The 23,789-nt window shown below is 34.1% G+C and overlaps 1 protein-coding gene across 13 annotated transcripts in view; it reads left to right on the forward strand.

Moving 5' to 3' along the window:
• WDR7 (WD repeat domain 7) overlaps positions 1–23,789 on the forward strand; it is a 385,248-nt gene that overhangs the window by 100,907 nt on the left and 260,552 nt on the right. For all 13 annotated transcript variants that reach the window (XR_007066131.1, XR_007066132.1, XR_007066133.1 and 10 more), the window contains 2 exons: positions 4,318–5,087; positions 6,600–6,688. Coding sequence is in view for 9 of the 13 variants with exons in the window: in NM_015285.3 (NP_056100.2) it covers positions 4,318–5,087; positions 6,600–6,688 (859 nt within the window). In the remaining 4 variants the exon portion in view is untranslated. The remainder of the gene's footprint in view (positions 1–4,317; positions 5,088–6,599; positions 6,689–23,789) is intronic.

Below are 23,789 nucleotides of genomic sequence, written 5' to 3' on the forward strand. Positions count from 1 at the left end.
ACTTGTTTCAGCAGTATCCATCATGTGATACTTCTGTCTTTGTCCTGTTTCACATCTGGCCATTGTTCTGCCAGGAGTGCTCTTTCATTGCTCATTACATCTTCCATGCGGGTTTCCCGGTCACCCGAGATGGAGCTGGTACTTTCTCCATTGCGTCCCCTTCTTGTGCCTTGCCATCTCTCTTTATGGCACCATTCATCCAACATTATAATAACTTATGTACGCATCATCATCTGTTTTGAGTTCCATGACTAGAAAAACCATTTCTGACTCGTCTTGGTTCCCTCAATACCCTGCGCAAACACAAGACATAATAGGTGTTAGGCAGCTGGGGGAATGAATGAATTAAATACGAGAATGAGATTTGGAAAGTCTTGATTTTTTTCTGCATTTGTAACTTTATGATTGTGTAGTGCAAATTTATCACATTATTTATGTATTTTAGGATGCTTAACTGTAGTATAGAAATACTTAGAACAGAAGTTTACCCACAGGAAGTAGTGATAGATCTGCTTGAAAAATTTGTAAGTAATTTTCAGAAGAGAAGCCACTTGAAATACTTCTTGCAGGATGAGTAGAAGTATGTATGACTTGAGTGGCAGAAGAGAGATTCCGGAGGGAGCATGATTCTGGCATAAGCATATGCAGAAATACAAATGTCTGAAACTACTTGGTTCTGAAAGTACAAGTGGTTTGATTTGGCAGAAGTTATAGGGATTGTGGTGAGAGATGAACTTGGAAGGGTAAGCAGCAGTATATCTTGAAAGATGTTTTGTGCTTTGCAGGTAAGTCTGGATTTTATCCTTGGGTTCAACAGAATGTTGAAGTCTCTTAAGCTAGAAAGAAACGTGGTCAGATGGGAGGAAATTAAGACAGAAGGGAGACCAGTTAAGGGGATTTGTGGTAATTTTATGTCAGAAGAGCTGATTGGCAATTTAAAATAATTTTCCTAAAAAAATTTTAAGGCTAGTCAAGTGAAGCAGTGGGAGTGGAGAGGGAACAAAGAAATCTGTAACTGGTTGGACCAATTAGTTCTAAACACCACTACACTTGGACCAGCCAATTTTATATAATTTTCATAATAGTCTTTGTTCATTCTGCTAGGTGCTGTAATAGGTTTAAGACTCTACAAGATGAGTAAGACATGATTGGTCCCTGATTTTGAAATGTTCCTGTAGAGTATAGGAAAATGCAAATATCTAGAACAACAAATTATATAAATGTGGCAAAGACATACAAATATGTGATACATAGTAGACATAAAATGTTGTGGGAGTTGGATTCACTGTGGACTAACTTCCTTGGCAGAATTAGTCTCTTTCTCCCACCCCCCTCCCCCCACCAAATTTACTGGGGGACAACTGACAAATTGTCAATTGTGTATATCCTAGGTATAGAGTGTGATGATTTGATATACATATATTTGTGGAATAATAGGGTGTCGATGGAAGAGAAGGGATTGGAGTGGAGTAAAGGAAGAGCATTTTGGGAAGGGGAATAAGTAAACGTATTTATATGTGAGGGGCCATAGTTTTGGTACTAGGGCCTATTTGTTAAAGCTCGGAAGGTATTTGATGTCAGACTGTAATGGACCTTGAAGATTGTGCTAAAGGAGTTCACATTTTATTCTAGAGCTTTATTTTCTAATTATTAAAATATATATTGATTATATGATTATATACAATCTAAGAAATATATAGCAATACAAATTAGATTGTATATGATTATATGTAATCTAAGAAATATATAGCAATACAAACAAAATGTTCTATAATTCCATCACAAGATTGTAATTACTATTAATATTTTCACACATTTCTTTCCAGTCACATATATATGTATGTTTGTGTGTATATATGTACACACACACTTTGGTCCGGGAAAGTACAAGTGGTTTGATTTGGCAGAAGTTATAGGGATTGTGGTGAGAGGTGAAATTGGAAGGGTAAGCAGCAGTATATCTTGGAGGATGTTTTGTGCTTTGTGTGTGTGTGTGTGTGTGTGTGTGTGTGTGTGTGTGTATATGTGTGTGTGTGTATGTATATACATATATATGTGTGTATATATACGTATATATGTGTGTATATATGTGTGTGTATATATACACGTATATATGTGTATATATACGTGTATATATACACATATATACACACACAAATATATATAAGCAGTCTTTCTTGCCATGCCATATATAATGTGTGTGTATGTATATATGTATATATACTTAAGCATTAAATATGTGAAATTGGAACCATAACTGGTGTGTGTGTGTATGTGTGCACGCGTGTGCGTGTACGTGTGGATGAGTGTATAGTTTCATCTCACTTAAAATTCGACTATGGGTATTTTTCTACATGGTTAGATGTGCCCAGAAAAGATGATTTATAAATTCTGCAATATTTATTATATGTCAATGCATAAATTATTTACTAGTTTCCTTACTGTTAGATATTTAGGTGGTTTCCAATTTAAAATATTCGATACAGTTTCACTGAACATCTTTGAACATAAATCCTTGTCTGTATTTCTGACTGTTTAAGATAGGATCCTGGAAATAAATATATTGGATCAAACAATATCAATCATAAAGGCTTATAAGGTATTTTGCCAAATTACTCTTTTAAAACTATTCAAATTCACAGCTGCAGTGTATGAGTTTGACTTTCTCTATACTGTTTTTAGTGTTTACTGTTTGCTAATAAGTTAATAAGATAAAACACTTATCTTGTAGTTATTTTAACTGTTATTTACTTGACAACCAATTTGAGCAGGTTTTCCCTATATTCTCCCTTTATGTTTCTTTTACTGTCTTTGGTCTTCATAGTTTTTTTCTTTTTTTTTTCTTTTGGCAATAGTATTATTGCTTTTAAGAAATGTTTGTATCTGTTACAACTCTTCATTAGTCCTATTTCTGGAACATTTTATTCCTATTTTTTAGTTGTCATTTAACATGTTTTTTATCGTAGTGAACTTTTAAGTATGTTTAGAAAGTCCATTCTCATCTCAAGATCAGTTAGATATTCACCTATATTGTGATTTAGTTTTTAAGAATTTTGTATTGTCTATTTTTCTTAATAATTCATGATAATGGAAATTTTTTGGTAGAGTGACATGATTAGATTTTTGCCTCAGAAGGAAGTCTGTAGTTCTGTGGAGGTCACATATGTTGGAGTAAGAGACCAGGGACAGTGAAACCTGTCTTGAGGAGCAAAGATAAGTGGTCTGAATTTCTGTCGTGACAGCGGGATAGGAAGAAAACAGAATGATTTCCAGCTGATGAATCAGGAGGCCCAGGAGGTTTAGTGAGGGGTGGAGATGAGAACGTAAAAATGTGAGGTAGGTACTGTGGGATATCCCAATACAAGCCATTGGAGATACAGGATTGAAACTCCTTTAGGAGACTGGTCTGGCTGATGATGGAAATTAGAGAGCCATCTACATATAGGTGATAGTTCCCATGTAGGGGGAAGAGTGAGTTATCAGGGCAGCTGCCTGAGAGGGAGAGATTGACAGAGGTAGAAGACTTACCAGGAGGTACTCTCCAGATAAATCTTTATTACCCTCCAGGATGCTGGAGAGGTGGCTTCTTATTCTTTCTTTTAGTTCTTTCTTTGTCTCTTTATTTTTCTTTCTATCTCGGGAAAAAATAACAATGTCATATACTGCAAAGACATTAAGGAAGAGAGGGACTGAAGAATTTTCATTGGAGTAGTCTACTACTTTCAGTAAATTTTGCTAAAAGGGACAGAAATTTGGCTAGAAGAGGAGAGAAATAGAAAAGGGAGCATGGTCAAAAGATAGCATTTTTTAAAGGATCTAAGTAGACTGTAATATGTTCTTTATTCAGGGAATGGAATCTTTGAATAGGGAGAGATTGAAGGTAAAATGGAAAAAGGAGGGATATGATGGTTGTAGCAACTTAAAGGATCAGGAGCCACGATAAACGGATTATTCCATCAGGTGGAACAGTAGTTTATTTTCAGAGACAGGATTTGCTCATAAATTATTGAAACACATTTTAATCATTACTGTGAGTAAAGAGACTCCCTGCTTCAATAATAAACTATTATTTTCTTGGTTTTTAAACTAATTGGCAATTTTGTGATTGTTTCAGCATAAAGTTCTTCTAATTGTGTAAGCTGATATCTTTTACATGCTGCTGATTGGCAAAGTTAGTATGTTACTTTTCATGATATAGGTTCCTAGAAGGACAGCTTAATAAGCATGTTAATTCCTCTGATTATTTATTGTTTATTAATGAATGTATGAAATTAAGCACTTTTAATTATAACTATCTTTTAAAAATATTTATTACAGGGAAATTTACCTAAATATTCTCATAACTCCCTGATGGTTCAAGCAATAAAGACAAACCTAACAGACCCGGACATACATGTGCTATTCTTTGATGTGGAAGCGTTGATTATTCAACTCCTGACTGAAGAAGCCTCTAGGCCGAATACTGCTCTTATTTCCCCAGAGAATTTGCAAAAAGCATCTGGCAGTTCAGACAAAGGGGGCTCTTTTTTAACTGGAAAACGAGCAGCAGTTCTCTTCCAACAAGTGAAAGAAACGATCAAAGAGAACATCAAGGAACACCTCCTTGATGATGAAGAGGAGGATGAGGAGATAATGAGGCAGAGAAGGGAAGAAAGTGATCCTGAATATCGGTCCAGCAAATCAAAGCCATTGACCCTATTAGAATATAATTTAACTATGGACACTGCAAAGCTGTTTATGTCCTGCCTTCACGCCTGGGGTTTGAATGAAGTACTGGATGAAGTTTGCCTGGATCGCCTTGGAATGCTGAAACCCCACTGCACCGTATCGTTTGGCCTCTTGTCAAGAGGAGGCCATATGTCACTGATGCTGCCGGGTTATAATCAGCCTGCTTGTAAACTGTCACATGGGAAAACAGAAGTAGGAAGGAAGCTGCCAGCGTCTGAGGGAGTAGGAAAGGGAACTTACGGAGTGTCCCGTGCCGTCACCACACAGCATCTCCTGTCTATCATTTCTTTGGCAAATACTTTAATGAGTATGACCAATGCAACTTTTATTGGTGATCATATGAAGAAGGGTCCTACCAGGTGTGACCATGATAGTTTGATTTTATTCTTAAGTTTCAAAAAAAGAAACCTGTTTTATTTTTTCATTGTTGATTACTCTTTTTTGGCTCTACACAATTTTATTATTTCAGTGTCATCTCAGTTGTTTCCCTTTTACATTTTAAAACACCAGTTTCAAAATGCCCGATTAAAACATAATAAAATTAAACAATTTTATGTATGATTGGCATACTTAGATGTTTTTTAAAAATTTGGAATGAGGGAGTTGGTCATATAGACTAGCTCTTGTAAATATAATTATAAAATTGTATACGTACTTGAAGTTTGCCCTAATATTCAATTCAAAATATATATTTGAGGCTGGGCATGGTAGCTGACACTTGTAATCCCAGCACTTTGGGAGGCTGAGGCAGGAGGATCACTTGAAGCCAGGAGTTTGAGACCAGCCTGAGCAGCATAGACCCTGCCTCTGCAAAAATAAAAGTAATTAGCTGGGCATGGTGGTTACATGCATGTAGTCCCAGCTACTTGGGGGGCTGAGGTGGGAGGGTCGCTTGAGCCTGGAAGTTCGTGGCTGCAGTGAGCCACGATTGTGCCACTGTACTCCAGCCTAAGCAACAGAGTAAGACTCTGTCTCAAAAAAAAAAAAATGTATATTTCATTAAATGCTTCTTCTCATTGTAACATATGTAATGATTGACGTGTTCAGAGATTTGGCTTCAGAATTTTGTGAGAAGTATAGTCAGAATTTTTCAATAGAGAAAGAAAAAACTATTTAAAATGCAGGAGAATACTATTTTAATATTTCCAGAATACTTAGCCTCAATTTGTCTTTTTATGGAGACAACTTTTTATTATACTCTATTGAGCATTTACCATATGAAGAATTAAAAACAATTCTAACAAATACTTATATAGCACTTACTTTGTGTCAGTCTCTGTTGTAAGTACTTTATAAAAACTAATTTGTTAGTTCCCTTAACCCTATGAGGTATGTACTTTTATTATCCCTTTTATTACGGAGAACAAAACTGAGACACAGAGAGATGATGTAACGTGCCCAAGGTAACATAGCTAGTAAGTGGTAGTGTCAGAATTCACAACTGAGACAGTCTGCCTCTATAGTCCAAGATTTCTTAATGCCTGAAGACTGTTTTCAGGTTTTTGGGTTGAATGTTTTTAATCTATCTTTCTATGAATTCACTTGGATTAATGCTGTGGAGTAGACTGAAATCTCAGCATCTGAATATTGAAGAACAAAGGGTTAAGTATGATGTTAGAAAATATTTCTTAAACTAATATGAAGCACAAATTGCACATGTCAGATTTTTACTTGCTAATCATTTACTCATTTGAAATGGAAAACGTTAATAGGTCCAAACCAAAAAAAATCTTTCTGGAATGGTAAATTGAAAATGTTCTATATATGTTTCTTTTGTGATTCGTTTAGAAGTAGAAAATTTTTTATTTTAAATAGTTCTGGAAATATGACAGTATCAAAATATATCTTGTATTTTTTTCTTCTTTTTTAAGGCCACCTAGACCAAGCACCCCAGACCTTTCTAAGGCAAGGGGTTCCCCTCCAACTTCCAGTAATATTGTGCAAGGACAGATTAAACAAGGTAAAATTAAATCTTATTAAGTAATTGACATGACATTTCAGCTCTAGAAACTGAGGAGGCATAGCTAATGTATAATCATAATATTTGTTTGTCTTGGATTGTTAAAAGAGAGAAAAGTTGTTATATTCCAGATGTAAATATGGATAATTAAGATGTCAGTTAAGGATAAATCAGATTTATTTAGAAAGTGATAAATGAGCATATTTCAGATAATTTTATTATACTGTCTTTGGACTAATTTTTATGCATTGGGGCACCTTAACTTGACAACAGTAGTGTTTTAATTGTGTGTTTCTTGAGTTTAAAAGTTATACCTATTTTAAACTACATTTATAAATGCTTAAGTTCATAGTTCCATACTACAACTAATCTGCCATTTTCCCATAGTTCATGTGTTGTGATTCATAAGTGGAAATCCTTGTTAAGCTATTCTTTTTATCTTTTCTTTTTATTTGAGTCATTATATACCTTAACTTTCACCTATAGCTTTGTTTTTCATTAGGAGATGGAGGAGAAGAAAGGTTGAGTTTCTCTTCCTCTACTAATAATTTCTACATATTCCTGAGTATAATTAATTAATATACTTAGATGTATCTGCATATATCTTTTATATTCCTATTAAGACTGACAAATGAGCTAATCAAGAGAGTTGGGGAGTTATGTCTACTTAGAGAACTTCACTTTGGACAAAGAGTTAATACTGACTCTTCACAGAATGTGATAGAGAAAAGTAAAGAAGTAAGCAACAGATGGGTTGATGCAGCTTCTGCTTATAAATGGTGGCATACTGGCATTTTTCTTCCCTACTTTTTTTTAAGTTTGAAAGAGTCAAACAGTAGTTTTACAAGGTTTGTTAAACAGTAGACCCCCAACTTTATATCTGTAGTTTTCCTCTTCCACAAGACAAGTACTTTTATCTCTCTTAGCTGATTATTTGAGACTTACTTTAACATCCTTAAATGGTGTGCTTGATTTTCAGCGTTAGGCACTGTCAGATGGTTCTCATTGTGGAAGATAAACTCCCACACTTTCTATGCCATTTCTATCCATCATTTCCAAACCCACACAGTCACCCTTCTCATTTCTCTGACCTCTAATTAAAGTTATAAGATCATTATGTAATAGTGTATATTAAGCTATATAAAAGTTTTATAATAGTTTTGGTTAGATAACTTTTTTATGCTTGCATGTGTGAAATATAATATACATACAGAAACATGCACAAAACAGAAACGTACAGTGATTTTTAGAAGCAGAACACCCTTGTAACTATGTCCTTGGCAAGGATTAGAGTATTGCCAGCACTTCAGAAGCATCCTGCTTGTTCCTTCCCAATCATCATACCTTCCTCTTCTAGAGGTAATCACTATCTTGACTTTTGTGAAGCCACTTCTTTTCTTTCTTTTACAGTTGTACCACCTAAGTTTAAATTTCTAAACTCTATTGTTTAATTTTGCCTATCTTTTAAGTTTTATATAAATTTAGTCAATTAAACAGTATATATTTTGTGCTTGTCTTTTGTGACATTTATCAGTGTTGTTGCATTTGACCATAGTTTGTCCATTTTCATTGCTGTGTAGTATTCTGTTGAATGAATAGATCACAGTTTATTCTCTTTTTTTGGTCATTAGACATTTGGATTGTGTCCAGCATTTGGTGTTTATAAATGATTCTGCTATGAGCATCCTTGTATTTTAAACTTAGTGCATATTATAAGCGTTTCTGTTTTGTATATAACTAAAAGTGGAAATTTCTGAATATCTTCAGCTTTAGTAGGTAATGTTAAAGTGTTTTCCTAAGTGTGAGACTGATATACATTCATCACAATGGCTAAAGTGAAAAAGAGAAAATATTAAGCGTTGACTAGGATATGGAGCAATGAGAACTCTTATATACAACTGATGAGATACCCTAGCCAACACCTAATATTTTCCTTCTTTTTCACTTTAGCCATTTTGATATGTGTATAATAGTGTCTCATATGTTTAATTTGCATTCCTTTACTACTGTTTAAACACATTTTATATGTTGATTACTCATTTCTATATTTTCTTTTGTGAAGTAAATGTTCAACTCTTACATATTTTTCTATTAGACCCAGGCTGGGGTGCAGTGGCACAATCACAGCTCACTGCAGCCTCCACCTGCCAGGCTCAAGCAATCCTCCCACCTCTGCCTCCCGAGCAAGTGGGACTATAGGTGCACACCACCATCCTGACTAATTTTTTCTATTTTTAGTAGAGATGGGGTTTTGCCATTCTGCCCAGGCTGGTCTTGAACTCCTGAGCTCAGGCAATTCACCCACTTTGGCCTCCCAAAGTGCTGGAATTACAGGCATCAACCATTGCATCTGGCCAATAAAATTTCTTTATAGATGATAGTATGTTTCTGGGCTGTTTGATTCCATTGATTGGTTTGTCTAGCCTTGTGTCTTAATTACTGTTGCTCTGTAATGAGACTTGATATTCAGTAGATGAAATCTTACCACCTTATTTTTTTTAAAGTGTGTCTTGGCTTCTTTTGTCCCTTTGAATTTCAATATAAATTTTAGAATCAGTTTCTCAATTGCCTCAAAAACCTGTTGTGATTTTAATTGCAGTTATATTGAATTTAGATAAGTTTGGAGATAATTAATATCTTTATGGGATTCACTCATTATACATCAACTTGATATATCTCTGCATTTATTTAGGTGTTCTTTATCTATCATAACTCATATGGTTTTATGTGTAGAGGTTTTATATATATTTTAGATATATAACATATATATCTAAATATTGGATTTGGATATTAGATTTAAAAATTTTTCTTAACTGGTAATGTTTAGCTATTTTTCATTTCTGTGCCCCAGTATAGAAATGCAGTTGATTTTTGTATACTAATATTGTATCAAGCAATCTTGCTGAATTCACCTATTAATTAAAATAATTTATCTGGGGATTCCTTTGAATGTCAGGGTAATCATATGAGATAACCTTTTCCCAGTTTCAAAGGGAAAACTTTTAAACCTTTCATAATTATGATATTTCCTATATGCTTTTGTAGATGTTAAGAAACTAGCTACCTTTTATTCCTTCTTTGCTAATGTTTATCATCAGTGTATTTGGATTTTATCATACCTTTTCTGTATTGATTGAGATGATTGTATAACTTTTAATTTTCCTCTATTAATGTGGCAAATTTAGAACATAAACCCAATCTTGCATCCTAGAATAAAACCAATTTTGTTTTGATGTATTATTTTCTTATAAATTATTGTATTTGATTTAATATTTTTTATTTAGGAAAACTTTTTTTTTCTGATGTCCTTAGAAGCTTTCAGATTATTCAGGTTACAAAAACTGAGTTGTGGAATGTTTTCTTTTTTTTCTATTTTCATGAAGAGTTTGTATAAGATTGGCAACATTTCTTTCATAAATTCAAACTCTAGATTTAAATTTGCTGGATTTAGATCTAGAGTTTTCTTTGTAGGCAGTTTTTAATTCTGGGTTCAACTTATCTCATTGACTTTTCAGATTTTGTTTCTTTGGTGTCAGTTTTGTTAAGTAGTACATATTTAGGAGTTTCTCTGATTCTAAATTTTCAAATATATTGACATTTGAGATTATAATATTGTCTTTTAATCTCTCTGGTATCTGTAATATGTCCTTGTTTTTATTCCTGATTTTAATAATTTATGTCTTCTCTCTTTTTGCTTCATCAGTCTTACCAGGGGTTTATCAATCTTATTAGTCATTTTAATGACCTCAATTTGACTTTATCCTTTCTAGTGCATATTTTTCCCCACTTCCTTAAATTCTGCTCTTTATTTACATCCTCCTCCATTTTTTGGATTCAGTGTGCTGTTTTTTGTTTTGTTTTGTTTTTTGTTTGCCATCCATATGTCCATTTTGGCGAAATGCCTATTTATATCTTTTGTCCAATTTTTCTTACCTTAGTAAGAATTTTTTTTTTTTTTTACCTTGGGTTGCCTACGAATAAAGTTTTTTTTTTGTTTGTTTGTTTTTTTGTTTTGTTTTGTTTTTGAGATGGAGTCTGGCTCTGTCGCCCAGGCTGGAGTGCAGTGGCGCGATCTCAGCTCACTGCAAGCTCCGCCTCCTGGGTTCATGCTATTCTCCTGCCTCAGCCTCCTGAGTAGCTGGGACTACAGGCGCCCGCACCACGCCCAGCTAATTTTTTGTATTTTTAGTAGAGACAGGGTTTCACCGTGTTAGCCAGGATGGTCTTGAGCTCCTGACCTCGTGATCCTCCCACAGTGCTGGGATTACATGCGTGAGCCACCACGCCTGGCCTTCTTCGATGTTCTTTATCAGGTTGAAAAAGTTCCATTCTATTCTTAGTTTGTCGAGATTTTAAAAATTATGAATAGATGTTAGATTTTATTCAGATGTTTTTTCTGCATCTATTGAAATGATTATTTGATTTTTGTCTTTTATTTTCTTAATAAGACAAAGTATATTGACTTTTAAGTTTTAAAACAACCTTGCAATATAGACCACATTTTGAATTACCAATTTTATAGTTTGTTAGGTACAATTTGCTAAAATTTTGTTAAGGGTGTTCATGTGTAAGTTCATGAGGAAGTTTGGTCTTTAGTTTTCATTTCTATTAATGCCTTTGTCCAGTTTTGCTGATAGGATAATGCTGGCCTCACAGAATGAATTAGGAAGTAGCCCCTTTCCCTGTATTTTCTGGACGGGTGAGTGTAGGTTGATAATTCTTCCATATTTGGTTGATCTAATTCACTAGTGAAAGCCCAGGGGTTTTCTTTATGGGAAGGTTTTTAACTACGGATTTAAAAGTATTATAGATATAGGGCTATTCTGCTTGTTTTCAAAAATGTCTACTTGGGTGAACTTTGATCATTTGTGTCAAATTTATCAGCAAAAAGTTGTGTGTAATCTTTTATTTTGCTTTTACTATCATATTTGTAGGATTTGAAATTATATTCACTCTTTCATTTCTGTTATTCATAATTTATGTTTTTTCCCTTTTTCTTGATCAGTCTGTCTTGTAGTTTAGCAATTTTATGGATCTTTTCAAAGAACTAGCCTTCTATTCATTGATATCTATTATTTTTCTATTTCACTGGTTTTTGATTTGATTATTATTTATTTTTTCTATTTTAAATGTGCTCTTATATTTTTAATTTCTTAAGGTAAAAGCTGAGATCATTGATTTAAAACCTTTCTCCTTTTCTAATATAGGCATTCAATGCTACAAATTTTCCCCTAAGTATTATTTTAGTGGCATTACACACACTTTGCCATATTGTACTTTTAATTTTCCTTTTGATTTTTTTCTTTTACCCATGGATAATTTAGTAATCAGTTAATATAATTTCCAAACACTTGTGGATTTTCCTAGGATCTGTCTGTTACTGGTTTTCATTTTATGGTCAGATACTATATTTTGTGTGGTTTGAATCCTTTGGCATTTGTTTCAATTGATTGTGTTTATATATGGGCCAATAACATTGCGTACATTTATAGTGTACAACATGATGTTTTGATACATGTGTACATTGTGGAATGGCTAAATCTAGCTAATTAACATATCTATGACCTCATATATGTATCATTTTATGTGTGTTGAGAACACTTAAAATTACTCCCTCAGCAATTTTTAAGTATATAATACATTGTTACTAACTATAGTCTCCATGTTATACAATGTGAATCCTTTTGAATTTATTGAGACTTGTTTTATGGCCCAAAATATAGTCTGTCTTGGTAAATATACTGTGTGTACTTCAGAAGAATGTGTATTCTGCTGTTGTTGGGTGGAATATTTTATAACTGTCAGTCAGGTCAAGTTGCCCGTGTTCAAGTTTAGTATATACTTGCTGATTTTTCTGCCTGCTTGCCTTTATCAATTAAATAAGAGTATTGAATCTGCAGCTATAATTATGGGTTTGTTTATTCCTTCTTGCATTTCTATCCCAGTTTTTGCTTCATGTATTTTGAAGCTCTCTTATTAGGTGCATAAACCTTTGGAATTTTTATTTCTTCTTGATTATTTGACCCTCGTCATTATGAAATGACCTTCTTTATCCTTGGTAATGTCCTTTGCTTTGAAATTTACTTTGTTTATAATAATACAGTAATTTCAGCATTTTTGGCTACTGTTAACATAGTATAATCTTTTCTCATCCTTTTACTTTTTACCTATTTGGCTCTTTATATTTAAGATGTGTTTCTTGTGGGCAGCATATAGTGGGTCTTATTTTTTAATCCAATCTGACCTGCTTTTTACTTGAGATGCATAAGCCGTTTACATTTAATGTGATTGTTGATATGGTTAGGTTTGAATCTGTTATCCTACTACCTTATTTTTCTCTTCGTTGCATTTATTTTTTGTTCTTTTTCTTTTTCTGCTGTCTTTTAGACTAAAAAGATTTTTTTTATGATTCCATTTGATCTCCTTTATGGCTTTATAAGCTAATTTTTATTATTTTAGTAGTTTTTTTAGAGTCTGTAGTCTATGTCTTTCCGTTATCACAGTGTACATTCAAGTGCTATTATACTATTTAACATTTAATATAAATGTTAAACCTTATAATATTATATTAGCATTTCTCATCTCCTGGTCTTTATGCTACTGTTGTCCTGCATTTTACTTTTATATATGTTATAAACCTCACAAATTATTCTTGTGATTTGTGTTTAACAGTAATTATATTTTAAAGAGACTGAAATAAGAAAAAATACATATTTACCCACGTAGTTACCTTTTTTGGTATTCTACATTCCTTTGTGTAGATCAAGACTTCTATCTGGTAAAATTCTTCTAACAAAAGGACTTACTTTAAGCTTTCTTTTTATGTATGTATATATGTATGTATGTATGTATCTATCTATCTATTTATTTATTTATTTAAGTTCTGGGATCCATGTGCTGAACGTGCAGGTTTGCTACATGGATACACATGTGCCATGTTGTTTTGCTGTACCTATCAAGCTGTCATCTAGGTTTTAAGCCCTGCATGCTAATCTTTCTTTTAGTGAGCGTCTGCTCTTCAAGTTTTTGTACATTTGAAAACATCTTTGTTTGTCTTTGTTTTTGAAAGCTTTTTTTTTTTTCTGGTATAGAATTCCAGGTTGACTTTTTATATCTTTTAATGCTTTGAAGATGATATTCTGTTGTCTTCTTGTTTGCATTAGTTCTAACAAGATCTGATAGCATTCTTATCTTTGTTCCTCTGACTGTAACATTACTTTATTAATCTTGTTGCTTTTAAGATTTTCCGTTTATCACTGGTTTTGAGCAGTTTGATTGTGTGGTTCTTCAGTGTAGTGTTCTTCATGTTTCTTGTGGTTGGGGTTCATTGAGTTTATTAATTTTGAAAAATTTTCAATAATTATTTCTTCAAATATTCATTCTGCCCTTTCCTCCCTCCTCTCTCTAAGGGACTGAAATTACATGTACGTTAGGCTGATTGAAGTTGTTTCACCTATCACGGTGCTCTTTTATTTCGGGATTATTTTTCCTCTCTGTGTTTTGATTGAGATAGTTTCCATTGCAATGTCTTCAAGTTTATTAGTCTTTTCTCAGCAATGTGTAATATGCCATTGGTCCCATCCAGTGCACTTTAAAAATTTATTTTTATTTTTTTTTATAGAGACAGTGTCTCGCTATGTTGCCTAGGTTGGTCTTGAACCCCCAGGCTGCAGCAATTTTCCCTGTTTGGCCCCCTCAAAGTGCTGGGATTGCAGGCATGAGTGACCATGCCCAGCTGTCATCCAATTCACTTTTAATCTCAGACATTGTTATATGTGTCCCCAGAATTTTGATTTGGGTCTTAAAATTTTTTTTCCTTGTCTCTACCTAACTGCTTTGAATACATGGATTGCAGTTATAATAAATGTTTTAACACCCTTCACTGATAATTTTGATAGCTCTGTCAGTTCTGGGTTGGTTTAAATTAATTATTCTCCTCCTTGTGGACTGTGCTTTCCTGCCTCTTTGCGTGTTTGATAATCTTAGAATAGATGGGAGATGTTTGAATTTTGCCTGTTTGGGTGCTGGACACTTTTGTGTTCTTAAAAATCTTGAGCTTTGTTGTGGGATGCAGTTATGTCATGTGGAAACAGTTTCTTTTTTTTCCTGGTCTTGCTTTTATGACTTGTTAGGTGGATTTGGAGCAGTGCTCTAAGATGAATTACTCCCTATTACTGAGGCCAAACCTTCCAGAATATCCAATGCCCTGTGAATTATGAGGTTTTCCATTTAGGCTGTTGGGAGCAGGCACTGTTTCTGGTCCTTTAGATATTTTCCCCCCAGCTCGAGTAGTTTCTTTACAGACATGTACTGATTGGTATTCTGCTGTATACTTGAGGGAGATCCTCTGAAGAACTTTGATCTTTGCAGCTCCCTTCTTTCTGTACATTGAATTCTAGCTGCCCTGGTTTCCTGAGACTCTCAGCTTTGTCTCCTGAACTCAGGGAAACTGCTGGGCTGCTCACTTTGTTCTCCATGTAGCTTCACCTAGGAACTCTCTTAAGGCAATAAGCTGGGGTAATCATAGGATCACAGGGCTCACGTTGCTTGTCTCCCATCTCTCAGTCCTTCATTGCATGATGCCCAGTGGCTTGAAAACCATTGTTCATACATTTTGTCATTTTGTTTGTTTGTTTTTGGTTGTTTTGGGCCTGACTGCAAATCTGTTTCTTGTTACTCCATCTTGGCCAGAAGTGGAAGTTCCTTTCCCTTTATTTAAAAATGTTCCAAATATCTATTATTTTATAAAGTAAATATTATTTGTATATATGGAGTTGTGATATTTTTAGAGTGTTATTACTGGTAGAAATGGAAACAGGCTTATACTGGCAAGGGACTTGTTTAATGTATTCTTAGTAATGGTAGTATGATTAGGACACAACCAGCACTTTTTAACTCTAGATCCCGTGCTTTTTCTGCAACAGTATATGTTTTATTTTTCTGAATTCATTGACAATATTTTCCAGGATATACTCAACGAATCAATGGTGGGACGATTCAATATTTATTTCTGTTAGAGATATTATTTGTTATCCTCCTCATCATCTTCATTATGATTCTTAACAGTTGGTGATTCTTCTTGAATTACATTTTTCCTTCTCTGTAATCATAATAGATGGAAACATTCTCATATAATTTGTGACATTGTCATGATGCATTATATATTCACCACCATGATGGTGTTAGATTTGCTCACCTGGTCAAGTCTGAAGATTTTTAAAGTTCGAATACTTTAATATTGCTTCTCTCAGAAAAGCATTGAGTTTTGAGAGCAGTGAAGGCGGCTTTGAAAATTGGGTCTTTTTAAAAAAAAGCATTTATTTAAGGCAATAGATTTAGGAATTTTCATTTGGAAAGCATATATACTTTTCTTCTAAAGTAAATGAAGGCCAGCAGTTCCTACTGAGAGAGAGCTACATAGTAAAATACTTTAGAATACCATTATGAAGCTCACTTTCTATTTTAATATTGAAATAAATATATAGTGTTAATTGTTTTCTCAAAAATATTAAGTTATTTTTGTCTCCTAACAACTCTTGTTAGGGAGGTTAGAGAGATTGGTCTGACATGTACTCTCTTGAGTAGTATGTGTCTAGTCGGTAACATGAACATAAATAACCAATTTAGGGTTGGAAGTGGTAAGAGATACAAAGGACTCTGAGTTGTCTAATATTTCAGCAGTTAGAGCATTATTTTTTCATCTTTCTACTTTGGCTTTTCTTAGCTTGGTTTGCTTCTAAACATTTTCCTCTTATGTTTTTTATTTCCTGACTTCCTCTACTGTGCACATTGACTTACAATGTCTTTTTAAGTTGTATTGCAAACATGAATATGCGTCTTTTCAATAAGCTGTCACTTGCATGTTGGCTAATACTTGTTCAGCTGCCAAATAATCTATATGAAGTAAAGACTTCAGCTGGGGATTGGAACTTTGATAGACATTTGGGTTTGAGAATAAAGATAGTTAAGATAGTTCAGCTTATATAATTTTCCATAACCAATATTAGGGCACTTCATTGGAAAATAGTATCTTCACAAGAGGTTTATTTTGCCTAACAGTGGACTTGTTAATTCAATGTTTGTCAATAATTAACATTTATTGTCACTTGTCTACTTTTTTTTATACAGTTTATTTTTTTTGACACTTGATTTTGCGGTTTATGAAACATGCTACTTGAGAAAAAGGGATTAGAGTTATCAAATAACCACACTTTTATTCATGGTAAATATAGCTGTAAGTCTGCTCATGGCTTTAGGCTTTTCTGCTTTTTTTTTTTTTCCTTTGAGACGGAGTCTCACTCTCTTGTCCAGGCTGGACCGCAGTGGTGCAATCGTGGCTTACCGCAGCCTCGACTTCCAGTCGAGGCTCTTGAATAGTTGGGACTATAGTCAAAGGCCACCATGCCCAGTTAATTTTAAATTTGTTGTAGAAATGGAGTTTCACCATATTGCCCAGGCTGGTTTCGAACTCCTGGGCTCAAGTGATCCTCCCACCCCAACCTCCCAAAGTGCTGCGATTACAGGAGTAAGCCTCTGTGCCTGACTGTTCTACGTTCTAATGTACTGTATTTCTCTCTATTCATTAATCTCATGACGTAAGTCTCTGGTCTGTGTCTCTAGTGCTTATCTTGATTGTGACCATATCTTTATGTTTAGTAGTTGCATCTTTACTCAGTGGGAGGTGCCCAAGCAAGTTTAAGCAATGTAAAGTTTAAGATTATGTTATGTTCTTTGCAACTTTATTTTTCAGAAATGGGTTCAATTTAGGTTGTCTAAACTTAGAAGTAAGAGGTGGTCATTGTTAAATTATCTCAGGAAAGAGTTATATAAATTAAACAATAGTTTAATCACTATTCTTTTCCAGGATTTATAGAGAAATAAACAGTACTTAACATAGAGTCCATACATCATATTAAGGAATGTATCTGAGAATCCCTTAAAATTTGGCGGATTTGACTTTCTGTGCCTTTATTTTTTTTAATTGGTGTACACCTTTGATTTGCTGTGGAAGCTCAAAGGGTAGGGACATTTTTTTTCTGCTTTGTTTAGTGATTTATCCCAAGTGCTTGGAACAGTGGCTGATACATAGAAGGAGCTCAGGAAATATTTACTGAATGAATGAATCTACAGATAACCTTCTCTTTATGTTTCTGGAGTCAGTATGTCAATAACTACGTGCTGAGGCTGTAAGGGCTGACAAATCTCTGCCCTCAAGGTGCTTATTATGTCTATTGGAGAAAATCCACAGGAGTGCAATTTATGATAATATTTTAATTGGTTATTATATGCTTTTCTAGACAATGAGTGCCTTGAGGGCAGACACTTTGTCTTATCTTTGTGTGTTTTTGTGTGCTTAGCCCAATATCGACATATAGTAATTGTTACTTATTTAGTGTTAAGTGAAGTAGAAAATTTTAATAGCCTTCATATACCAAATTCAAGTTAGTGTTTATGTTATACATTTATCTTTTACAATGAACTCTCTCCCCATGGTTCTTGGTCTTAGAGAACTCATTGGTTTATTTTGGACGTTAGTAATGAGGGAAACCTTTTACAGAAACTTTGTTTTTTGACTTTTTGATTTGAGTTATAGGCCAAGGTAAAATTTTCATCACATCTGTGTTTATTGCACTTCTGATATAATCCAGTGGTGATGTACAGGTGAAGTAGTGTGACTGTATTTTTTAAACATTATGAGCACCTTCATGTGTTGTCTTGTGTACCTGTTGGGCTGCTAATTCATTCTGCTCTGGTAAGTCCTTACCTTTCTGCTGCCTGCACCTTTGTACTGCCCTATTTCCCTTAGTTTTTTGTGGTCTTCTTTTATGGTGTTTTAAGGATATCCTTTTTTTTTCCCTAAGAATCTTTGGACATTGCATTTCTATATTGCTTCTAAACGTGTTCAGTTGGTGGTTTCCTATCTAATGGAAAGGGTCTATATTATGAATGAGTCCATCACTTAAATAAGGTTTGCATATATTGTTTGTATCAGCACCATGATGAATGGTATTAATGAATTTATAACATGACTAAATATATTTACTTAGTACATACCATGCACTTTCCTCTGTGTTTTTCATTTATTCCCTACAACAACTGACCCAAACAATTATGTCCATATTGCCCAAGAACTCTGCAGTGACTTTTTAGGATAGGAATTTGTTTATGAAATGCAGTGTCCAGAAATACCAATACCACCAAAACTTTAACATTGTGTAAGTAGCATATTTGAAATTATCATAGCTGCTAATATAATTGCTTTTGTCATTAATTTCCAAATACATCTCTGTTTCATGATCATAGTACTTATATGATGTTCATTTTCTCTGTATGGTTTCTTGTAACGTTTGGACTAACTTTAACAGTTTCATTAGTTATATGTAAAGAGTAAAAATGTTATTGGCCTTCTTAATAGTAACCCTAAGCTAAAGAGAGGATGATGAAGATTGGTTAGGAGATGTGTGTTTCTTAAAAATGTGTAGGAAAGGTGGAGCGTGGTGGCTCATGCCTTTAGTCCCAGGAATTTGGGAGGCTGAGGTAGGTGGATTGCTTGAATGCAAGAGTTTGAGACCAGCCTGGGTGACATGGCAAAACCCCATCTCTACCCTCCCCCACCCCCCCCCAAAAAAAGAAAAAAAAAAATACTGGCCGGGCACGGTGGTTCATGCCTGTAATCCTGGCACTTTGGGAGATTGAGGTGGGCAGATCACCTGAGGTCTGGAGTTTGAGACCAGCCTGACCAACTTGGAGAAACCCCATCTCTACTAGAAAATACAAAATTAGCCAGGTGTGGTGGTGCGCACCTATGATCCCAGCTACTCAGGAGGCTGAGGCAAGAGAATCTCTTGAACCCAGGAGGCAGAGGTTGTGGTGAGCCAAGATCATGCCATTGCACTCCAGCCTGGGCAACAAGAGCGAAACTCCATCTCAAAGAAGAAGAAAAAAAAAATACAGAAATTATCGGGGTGTGATGGTGTGCACCTGTAGTCCCAGCTACTCAGGTTGCTGAGGTTGGGAAGATGGCTTGAGACCAGGTGGTTGAAGCTGCAGTGAGCTGTGATCACACCACTACACTCCAGCCTGGGTGACAGAGCAAGACCCTGTCTCAAAAAAAAAAAAAAAAAAAAAAAAAAAAGCTAGAGAGAAGATAATTTTTGCATTTTTAGAATTCTGAATGCAAACCATCAGTCAAAAAGGCAGAATAATAGCAATTTCAGACACTCATAGTCTTAAAAAAATTACTATTACTATATAGAGTACCTTTTCTCAGCAAAGTTTTGCAAGATGTGCTCCATCAAAATAAAGAAGTAAACCAAGGAAAAATAAAACATGGGGCCCAGGAACTGGGAAACCCATTGAGGGGAGCACTTGTGACCTGACATGGTCATCAGTGAAGGATTACAGTGAAGGAAAGTCTCAGGATGGTAACCACGTGGCAGATACAAGCAGGGCTGTGAGATGGCTTCCGAAGAGATGGTTCAAGGAAAAATGACACTGCTCTGTGAAAAATCATTGAGAAGCTATCGAGGGGTTTAACTTAGAAGAAATAGGTACACAGAAAAGAAGACAAATGGGGAGAAAATATAATTTTTAAATTCTGAAAAAATCCCCAGCAAGGTGTCCAAGGAAAGAAGTATGATCTTAGTAAGCTATTTGAGTCAACATTGAACATTATTTCCATAGACATAGAGATATTTATCTCTCTATATAAATGACTATTCGTATAGAGATATATATCATATAAAATATACCTATATAATAGAAAAATCTAAAATAATATATAGATAGTATATATATTTATATTGGGAGTAAAGGAAAGGAGATTGGTTAGGAGATGTGGTTTGGCAAAGTTAAATCATCTTCCACAGTATTGGTGGAAACCAATAGCTAATGTTTAGATTTGGTAAAGCAAGAAATTGCAGGATTAGCATATTATTTAATGATATAGAAGTAAATGCTGTAAGAAACAGTTAAAATGTTTGAAAATGGTTTCCTATCAGAAGCCATACTTGGGGATGGGGCAGGGGAATCCTGTATTCAAAATGAGCTTTTTAATACTGTTTGACGTATTAAAACTGTGCTTATATTATTGCCCTTTATGTTGCATGAGCTGCCAATTCTATTGGACATATTAAAACATGCAGAATTAAAGCACAGTGCCTTCTTGTATAATAACAACAAAATAGCTCTAGCTTATTGGACATATTTTGTAGATTAATTTAATGAGGCAGGGTTCCTGAAATAGAAATAGGGCCCCTTATGAAGGCACTTTTGTTTTTATCTGGGTCTGGTAGTACGATGCTAAAGGGTAGCATTGTAACGGGGCTTCAAGACAGTCTTTATGATTACTACACATACAAGGTTGGAGGCTTCCTTTCTTTAAAGAGAAGTTTTTTTTTTTATCATTCATTACTAATGTATTTGTTTTCAAACCTTCTATTCATGATGATAGTTAAATGTATTGGTATAGCTTTTTGTAATCTTTTTGGCATTAGGAAATATCGAATGGGAATTTTTCAGATAACAAAAGGAATTGGAAGGAGAATTAGTTTTCTTGCCAATATTGCATTCATAGCAAAGTTAGTGCATTAATTATGGCAATTGCATGAAGCATTGGAGATATGATATATTATACATAACCAAACAGGTTGTTGCATTATCTAGTTTTGTACCTCAAAAAGTCAAGCATTAAAAAAGAGGCAATGAAACCTGAACTAATGATTTATCCAAATGTTTCATGTTGATTTATAAGGTGGCTAAAATGCCCATCTACCTAAAACATAAAAGTATTGACACAAAAGAAAACTTATAAAAAGCCAAATGTTGCTCTATAATATCTGGACTAGATGCAGACTCAGTGCCGAATGCCTTTATGTTAAGTACGTGGTGGTTAATTCTACAAAGCTTCTTAACTTCTAATTTTTTCATGTTTTCTCTTTCTTCTCTTCCTTCTTCTCTCCCCTCACCCACCCTCCCCATAACATCGTGATTACCATGAAATACTTTAAAAGGACTCATCATTAAATAATTGTATTCTTTTTTTAGTATTAAGCTTTGAAAAAAACTTACTTTTTTAAACATTGCATTTTTTTGTACTTTAAAAATTTTTTTCTCTGAAAAATGTATTGAAAAGGGCTACTTGTGTTTATGTGCTAGGAAGATAATGAGATTTAGACCAATATGTATGGAGCACCCGAAGTATGTTAACTTTCTGTCCTATAAATATTTTAATATCACAATAGGAGTAGTTTAGAATCAAATTTAAATGGAGTTTAGAATCAAATTTCAATTAAAAACTCAAATATTCCTGTTGAGAAGCAGAATCTAGGGATGTTATAATATTGGATATGTATGTGCTATGTAAGGGGAGGCCAGGGCAGATGTGTGCATATACACGTTGTCACACACGTTTATTTATCTTCACCTGTCTTTTCTTATGAGAGTAAGCAGTTGAAGCGGCTCAGATAAAATAATGGAACTGTGTTAATTTTGTCACTATGTTGAAGCTGTGCTACAGCTGTTTTCCCAATCCTTAATAAGAGAAGCAAATTGATAGGTGACATAGCAGCTTTTCTGTTAAGAAATCAAATGCTTGATTATGTTTTATGGTGTAAATCTTTCATATTCAGTGCCCCATGCAACTTCAGATTTATTATTTATTAAATCTTGAGCTTTTTATCTTGGAAGTAATTTTTTCTGCTAATTGCTGATTTTTCTTATGTAGATAGTTGTGAAAGCTGTAGCAGAGTTTAATTTCCTGATGAATTTTGAAAGTGCTGTAGATTTTGCCATTTCAGTTGTGAGGTAGTGTGAATGAAGTATTTTTTGGTGGTGATGCAGAGATTTTTAAAGCATAGTAAATCTGATTCTTTGATTTCTATTACAATATTTTTCTTGATTTTTAGTGCCCATAAAATTTATTAAAGGATGAGTGTAAATGCCTTTTTTTCTAAATGAAATGTCATTTAAATATGACTTCAAAAATACAATATCGAGAATCTGTTTTTTTCTTTCCTTAAAAATAGTTAATATGTTAAACAATATTCTATTAAGACATACGCCTATTCTAGCATTTCTGCCAGTAACGTTTCTAGTTTCCTTTTACACTTGTTCCTTATAGGAATCATTAATCCCACGACTTATTTGACTTGTGTTAGGGTAATGACCACTCAATCCTAAACTTTTATTCATTTGTATTGAATTTCCTCACCCTCTCATTCTATTGTCCTTTCAGAATTAAGAGTAAAACCATGCAAAATTAACACAGCCTTTCCAGGGATAACAATTTCTCCCCATTTTTGAAAAAGTGAAATTATGGAAAAGTCCTAACTGAAGCCACCAGAGGAACATTTTGGCAGAACAAAAATTAAAACCTGCAAATTTACTCCTGGCTACCAAGGCTTACCAACTTTTTGCATGGAGGATGAATAATTTATAAGTCATAATCACTGAATTTGTAATTAAAAATGATAAAATTATTCCCTGGAATATAGAAATATTTGGGATTTCTTTGCAAGATTACTTTGTAATGGAGTTTGTAGGTCTTATGAAATATAGAATTAAAAGTAGCTCTATTTATTTCATAAGTATAACATTGTAAAATAATTTTAATTTCATAAGGAACAAAAATCAGATCTCTTATAATAATAAAGAATTATAATTTCCTAGATGAAACTTTCATTTGTGCAAGACGTGCTTCTTAGGGTTTATGGAGTTAGAGTTGCTTTTTGTGTTATTTTTCATGGACTTCTTTTCGTTCTACTGTTTACCTCACACGTGCCTGATTGACATTATGATGCATTCGTGTGGAAATTATGAAAAAGTTGTTTTCATGCAGCTGTTCTGTTGTCACAAAAGAACTTCACTGCATGAAAAGCAAACATATCATTCAGCAGACAATGCTTAATCTGTTCAGGAGCCCAAACCTATTGCTGTTCAATGACAGAAGAAAGGAGAGGGATTAATTTGAAGATGCTTGTGCATGACATATGGTAATTTCGCCATAGGAAAGAAGTGTCAAATGGTGACCTCTAAATCTTAACATTGACCTCCAGTTGTAGAATGTGTGTGCCATACGGTCCTTTTGCTTTTTCGTATGATA

The sequence above is a fragment of the Homo sapiens genome, chromosome 18 (genome assembly GCF_000001405.40).
Source record: "Homo sapiens chromosome 18, GRCh38.p14 Primary Assembly".
Classification (NCBI taxonomy): Eukaryota; Metazoa; Chordata; class Mammalia; order Primates; family Hominidae; genus Homo; species Homo sapiens.